The sequence below is a fragment of the Homo sapiens genome, chromosome 7 (assembly GCF_000001405.40).
Source record: "Homo sapiens chromosome 7, GRCh38.p14 Primary Assembly".
NCBI classification, from domain to species: domain Eukaryota; kingdom Metazoa; phylum Chordata; class Mammalia; order Primates; family Hominidae; genus Homo; species Homo sapiens.
Window position 1 is genome coordinate 38,139,882 of NC_000007.14, and position 7,956 is coordinate 38,147,837.

Genomic DNA, 7,956 nt, shown 5'->3' on the forward strand with positions numbered 1-7,956 from the left:
TCCTTAACAAGGTGATCAAACTTAGCATAAGTCACTAATAGTTGCTAAGAGTATTACACTTTGACATAATTGGCCCTCTGATGTGACTACAATGGGACTGAAAATATCATCTATGAAGTACTATTGCCAAAAATGTTTACTTTGAATCTTATCAAAAAGCCTCTAGACCCAACCAACAATTTACAGAAAATAGACGGAACAAATAGTCAAGCTGTTAGCGAAAGAAAAAATAAATAAAGTCATTCTTGGACAATTGGTGGTAATTTAAATATGGATTATGTATTAGATATTACAGAATTATTTATAATCTTTTAGGTGTTCCAACATAGACTGACTATGTAGGAAAATTCCCTTATTCTTAGTAGCTGCATGCTGAAGTGTTTAGGGTAAATCTCAGGCTGTCTGCAACTTTCTTTCATATGATTCATGGGGGGAGATACATACACACACACTCACACACTTGCACACACACACTAAGTGTGTGAGAGTGTATGAGAGAAAGAATATGTGGCAATATGTTAACCAGTGAGATCTGGATGCAGGTTAATATAGATGTTCATTATTGTATTATTTGTTTAACTTTTCTGTAAGTTTGTTTTTAAAAAATAAAAAGTGATTAAAAATTGTTCCAAGGGAAAGCTATACAGATAATTTTTTTCAATTGTAATGCTGAAAAAAAACAGTTTTTATTGCAAAATGACTAGCTTGATTATATGTTCTTTCTTTGACAACAGGGAAAAGGAGTTAATCCATTTCTTTCTGACAGTATGTACTTCCTAGCTTCCCCATAACTATCAACAATATCACTAATTTTCTTTCTACAAATGTGAAAATTGGTTATTGTTTATAAAATAGAAATGCAAAATATACTTACTATTTTATAATTGTTCTTTAAACAGAATTAATATGTTTTCATAAACTCCATTGTAAGAATGCTATAATTCTCCACATTTTAAAAAATGTAATGACAGCCACTAAAAGAATAGAAATACAATCTATAGATTTGAAATTAATAAAGTGGGGGCCGGGCACAGTGGCTCCCGTCTGTAATCCCAGCACTTTGGGAGTCTGAGGCAGGAGGATCACTTGAGGTCAGGAGTTCGAGACCAGCCTGGCCAACATGGTGAAACCCTGTCTGTCCTAAAAATACAAAAATTAGCTAGGCCTGGTGGTGTGTGCCTGTAATACCAGTTACCTGGGAGGCTGAGGCAGGAGAATCATTTGAACCTGGGAGGCAGACTTTGCAGTGAGCCCAGATCGTGCCACCGCACTCCAGCCTGGGCAACAGAACTAGACTCCATCTCAAAAAAAAAAAAAAAAAAAGAAAGAAAGAAAAAAGAAAAAAGGAAAGTGTTACAGAATTTTTTATCAGTCCAATGCAGGGAAAGATATAAAAAGACATAGCTAAACTTAAAAATAATATAAACACTCTCCGAACCAGAAACTGAAAGAAAATTAAAAGTGGCCACCAGTGCTAAACCCACAGGCCTTCTGAGCTCTGGCGTGGAAGCAGGGTCTGAGGGTGCCAATTACCTGAGGCAAAGAGGCCAGAAAGAGAACCATTCAAGACAAGGAATCAGAGAGTCAGACTCAAGACTTAATGCCTGGAATTAGGGTAGGGCTGCCCTGGCCATGAAAGGGAATGGGGCTAGGGGAAGAGTGATGAGGAATACCCAACAAACTGTGACCAAAAAGCATGTGGTTACAGCTTTTAGGAAGCTACGGGCATAAGGAAATTGGAGGACACAGAAGTAGCCTCCTAAACAAAAATGGAAACCAACCACCCGCTGGCTCACACCTGAATCTGCATTGTCTCTATCACAGAAGAAATTAAGAGCTCACTATATTATGTAAACCTAGTGAGAGAGAGAGAGACCTTTCCACCCAAAATGAGTCTGCAAACTAAATTCCAAAACATAAGAAAGAAAGAGAGTGAACAAAGTCAATAATCGTAATTTTTTAATGAAAGTTTTAAAATCAGTGGGTTTCAAATGTACATGAAAAAGTAATAGCATTTATTAGAAACAAACAAAAATAATGAAACAGTTACATATGAAACTGAAAACGACAGTTTTGAGATAGAATGAAATATTTCAGAAATGCAATATAAAGTCAATGAAGTAATGTAACATGGTAAATTAGAAAAATGGAAGATGGTACTGAGGAAGTTCCACATGCAGTACAGAAATAAAATAATAACATGTTCAAATGAAAGAGCAATTATGATACATACAGAAGAGACTGAGAAGTTCCAATACATACATAGTAGGTGTTGAAAAGATTGAACGGAGCAGTAGAGATAAGTTACATATTTTAAAGTTTGCAATATTCAGTAGAGATAAATGGATACATCATAGAATAATAAAATAAAGAATCTATTAAGACTATAGGCCGGACTCGGTGGCTCACGCCTGTAATCCCAGCACTTTGGGAGGCCGAGGCGGGTGGATCATGAGGTCAGGAGATCAAGACCATCCTGGCTAACACGGTGAAACTCCGTCTCTACTAAAAAAAAAAAAAAATATATATATATATATACACAAAAATATACATATATACACAAATATATATATATACAAAAAAATATATATATATATACAAAAAATTAGCCAGGCGTGGTGGCCGGCGCCTGTAGTCCCAGCTACTCCGGAGGCTGAGGCAGGAGAATGGAGAGGCTGAGGCAGGAGAATGGCGTGAACTTGGGAGGCGGAGCTTGCAGTGAGCCAAGATCGCGCCACTGCACTCCAGCCTGGGTGACAGAGCGAGACTCCGTCTCAAAAAAAAAAAAAAAAAAGACTCTATAAATTGTATGTAACTACAAACCAACAAAATTGCTTCAAAGAAAATATACAAATTGCTAATAAGCACATAAAAAGATGTTCAACATCATTAGTCATTAGAGAAATACAAAACAAAACCACAAGAAATAATTTCGCACTCATCAGGATAGCTATTTTTAAAAAAAATGAAAAATAACAAAAGTTGGCAAGTATGTAGAGAAATTGAAACCTTGTGCATTGCTAGTGGGTATGCAAAATGGTACAGCTGTTGTGGAAGTTTGGCAGTTCCTCAAAAAGCTAAACGTAGATTGTGCACCCATGTACATAGCAGCATTATTCACAGTAGCCAACAGGTAGATGCCAACCCAAGTGTTCATTGAAGGATTAATGGATAAACAAAACGCTGTATGTACATACAATGGAATATTCAACCATGAAAAGAAATAAAGAATTAAAACAAGCTACAGTGTGTGTGAACCTCAAAAACATTAGGCTAAAGGAAACAAGCCTGTCACCAGAGGATAGACACTCATCATTTCACTTATATTAGGTACCTAGAGTAGTCAAATTCACAGAGACATAAAGTAGAATGATGATTTGCAGGGACTAGTGGGAGGGGAGATGAGAAGTTATTGTTTAATGCTACAAAATTTCAGTTTTGCAAGATTAATCATTCTGTGGATAAATGGTGAGATGGTAGCACAACAATGCAAATTTACTTGATGCCACTGACCTGTACATTTAAAAAGGCTTAAGATGATAAATTTTATGTGTATTATATTAAAATGTTTAAAAAGCTAGCACAGAAATACCATATAAGCCATCAATTTGACTCCAAGGTATGTACCCAAAAGAATTGAAGGCAGGAACTAAAAACGATACTTGTATGCCAATGATCATAGCAGCACAACTCACAATAACCAAAAGATGGAAACAGTCCAACTGTTCCTCAAAAGATTAATGAATAAACAAAATGTGGTATGTGCACACAATGGAATATTATTCAACCATTAAAAACGAAGTTCTGATAGATGCTACAACATGAATGAACCTTGAAGACATTATACTAAATAAAATAAGCCAGGCACAAAGGATAAATATTTATAATTCCACTTACCTAAGGCACCTAGATTAGGCAAATTGATAGAGACAGATAGTAGATTAGAAAGTAACAGAGACCAGAAGGAGGAAGAATGAGGAGGTTTTACTTAATGGTTACAGAGTTTCTATTTGGGGCAATAAAAATGTTTTGGAAATAGGGTTACACATCATCATGCACATAATTAATGCCACTGAATTGTACACTTAGAAATAGCTAAAATGGTAAATCTTATGTTATGCATCCCTTATTACAATAAATTTATATATAGCAAAAATGGGCAGAGATATAGAGAAATAATACATATTCAGAATTATGGTGGGAAATTTTTACCTGCATCTATCAAAAAACATTAGTGGACAAAAAAATTTTAAAGGATATAGTACATTTAAACAATAAAACCAAACTGCTTGATAGGATGGATGGATGTGGTGTATATAAACAGTGCCCCCAACAAATACATGAAATATAAGCCTTTTTTTTTTCTTCTTTTTTTTTTTTTAAAGACAGAATCTCACTCTGCTGGCCAGGCTTGAGTGCAATGGCATGATCATAGCTCACCACAGCCTTGAACTCCTGGACTTGAGCATTCCTCATACTGCAGCCTCCTAAGCAGCTGGGACTACAGGAATGTGCCACTACGCTCAGCTAATTTTTTAAGCTTTTGTAGAGATAGTGTCTGACTGTGCTGCCCAGGCTGTTTTCAAATTCCTGGCCTGAAGCAATCCTCCCACCTCAGCCTCCCAAAGTATTGGGATTACAGGTGTAACCCAAAACACCGGCTGTGAAATATATTCTTTTAATGTGCACATAGATTATTCAGAAAAGTTGAAATGCATTGAATATTCTTTGCTGATATCTGGTCAAAGAATTAATAGCATGTAAATTGTGACCTCTGACTATAATACAATGCTATTAGAAATAAACACTAAAGATTATTTAAAAGGAAAATTTCCCTTAAGCTTCAATATTTGAAACCTTTAAAATGTAATGAGGCTATTACAATAGAATAGTCATAAATTAACACTTATAAAAGTACTATATATCAAAATGTATGAGATGCAGCTAAGTGGCATTTAGAGGTAAATTTATTAGAATCGAATGGATATATTAAAAACTAAATGACTGAAAATTAAATCTTTAAATCAAGATATAAAATAACAAGAATATTCTGAAGAAAAAAATAAGCAATAAAGATTAGAATAAAAATCAATGCAATAGAAAATAAAAGAAACAGCAGAGGGCATTCACAGTTGCTTTTTAACACTGATATTCTAATCAAAACAATAAAATAAGAAAAATAAATATATGACACAAGAATTGGGAAAGAATGGATGAAACTGTTTATATTTTCATATTCCATTATTGTCTACAGTAGTCCTTCCTTATCAGCAGGGGATACGGTCCAAGATCCCCAGTGGATGCTTGAAACCACAGATAGTACCTAACTTTATATATCATATGTTTGTTTCTGTACATACTTACCTAGAATAAAGTTTAGTTTACAAATTAGGCACAATTATGAATTAATCTGGGTGGCCAGATTCCCCAGTTTCAACTACCCACCATCAATCAAGGTCCAAAATAGGTGAGTACAGTATAATAAGATATTCTGAGAGAGAGAGAGAGAGAGAGAGAGAGAGAGAGAGAAAGATTTCATTCACAAACTTTTTATTACAGTATATTCTTATAATTGTATTATTATTAGTTATTGTTAATCTCTTATTGTGCAAATCATTCTAATGATCTTTTACAAAGAACAGCAAAAAAACAATACTGAAGCTTAGAAAAAAGAAGACATAAATTAATGGGAAAATTACCAACTCCAAAGATTGGAAAACTCTATATGAAAGAGTCTGTAATTATCTTTAAATAAATCTACAAATTAAATATAAACACAAAGTCTTACCTGACAATTTCATTGAAGTTGACAAAAGACTAAGAATTTCAAAGACAAATTTGAAGAGGAACAAGAAGGGGAGGGGGCATATTATATAAAGCAATAGTATTTAAGACTGTCTGGTATTAGCTCAGGGTATTAGCTCAAGCAAGTAGAAGTGATAGCTCAAAAGTAGATCTACTCACATATGGAAACCATATATGACAGATGTGTGAGAATAAACACACCATTCAATACAGAGGGCTGGGGAGGGGAGGACATGGAGCAAGATGGCCAAATACAACCCTCCAGCAGTAGTCTCCCACTCCCCTGAAGGAACACCAAATTGAACAACTGTCCACACAAGAAAGCACCTTCATGAGACCCAACTCTCAAGTGTGTGAACACAGTACCTTGTTTTAACATCACGACATTTAACATCATAACAAGAAAAGAGGCACTGAAGAGGGTAGGTAAAACAGTCTCGAATTGTTGTCACCACCCCTCCTTCATTCCCTGGCGGTGACTTTGTGGCACCAAGAGAGAATCTGTATGCTTGAGGGAGAGAGAACAAAATAATTGTGGACTTTTGCATTAGAACTCAGTGCTGGCCTGTCACAACAGAAGGCAAGATAGGGCAGAATTCAGCTGGCATCCAAAAAGGGAGCATTTAGCCAGCCCAAGCAAGAGAGGAATCATTCATCCCAGCAGTTGGAACCTGAATTTGGGCTAGCCCCACTACTGCGGGCTGTAGGGCAATGGGCTCCTAAATAAATTTGAAAGGCATTCTAGGCCATAAGGACTTCAATTTCCAGGCAATTCTTGGTGCTATGCTGGGCTCAGAGCCAGTAGTCTTGGGGTACACATGACTTAGTGAGATACCAGCTGGGGCAGCCAAGGCGGTGCTTGCATCACCACTCCCCCAACCCCAGGCATCACCACCCACAGCTCTGAGAGAGACTCCTTCCTTCTGTTTGAAGAAAGGAAAGGGAAGAGTAGAGAGAATTTTGTTTTGCAACTTGGACACCAGGTCGGCCACAGTATAATAAAGCACTAAACAGAGTCCTAAAGCCCAGAATTCAGGCCCTAGTTCCCAGATGACAGAAGGGAACCCACTGCCCTGAATGGAAAGACCCAGTGATGGCAGGATTCATCACTTGCTGACTAAAAAGCCCTTAGACTTTGCAGAAACTTCAGCAGTAGACAGGCAGTAGTTGCCACAGCCCCTGAGAGAGACCCATTAGTGTACTGGCTTTGGGTGTAACTCTCTACATTCCCAGCTATGGTGACCATGAGGAGAGACTCCTTATTTTCGAGGAAAAGAGAGGGAAGAGTAAAAAGGATTTTGTCTTGTGGCTTGGGTCCCAGCTCAGCCACAGTAAAACAAAGCACCAGTTAGATTCCTAGGATTTCCAATACGAGGGCCTAGCTCCTGGATGGCATTTCTAGACCCACCCTGGGCCAAAAGGGACTCTGTTTCCCTGAAGGGAAAGATCCAGGCCTGGCAGGATTCACCAACCTGCTGAGTAAAGAGCCCTTGGGACTTGAATAAACATCAGTGGTAACCAGGCAACAGTCACTACAGGTCTTGGGCAAAACCAAGTACTGTGCTGGTTTCAGGCATGACCCAGCACAATCCCAGCAGTGGTGGCCATGAAAGTTCTTGTGTCACACCTCCCTCAAGTCCACTCAGTATAGCATGGGGAGATAGACTCTGTTTGTTTGGACGAAAGTAAGGGAAGAGAATAAGACACTCTGCCTTTTAATCCAGGGAATTTTTCTAGATCTTACCCAAGATCACCAATGTGGTACCACTACAAGTCTGCAACAGCCACAGTGATACTGAGCTTGGGGTGTCCTCTAATGCAGATATAGCTACAGTGACCAAAGACTTAGATGACAACACTCAATTTCATTTGAATACCTGAAAAGTATTCTCAAGAAGGATGGGTACAAATAAGCTAAGACTGCAAACATTAGAATACATACATAACTGTTCAACGCCCAGACACAAACATCCACAAGCATCAGGACCACCCAGGAAAACATAACCTCATCAAACAAACTAAATAAAGCACCAGTGACCTATCCAGGAGCGACAGAGATATGTGACCTTGCAGACAGAGAATTCAAAATAGCTGTTTTGAGGAAACTCAATGAACTTCAAGATAACACAGAGGAGGAACTCAAAATCTATC

At 37.5% G+C, this 7,956-nt stretch overlaps 1 annotated feature.

Annotated features, from left to right (window-relative positions):
• Window positions 7,313-7,412: a silencer, noted in NCBI's record as "silent region_18108". NCBI's record gives its function as "represses an Ori minimal core promoter by ATAC-STARR-seq in GM12878 lymphoblastoid cells {active_cell/tissue: GM12878}" and the evidence as "EXISTENCE:reporter gene assay evidence [ECO:0000049][PMID:35858748]".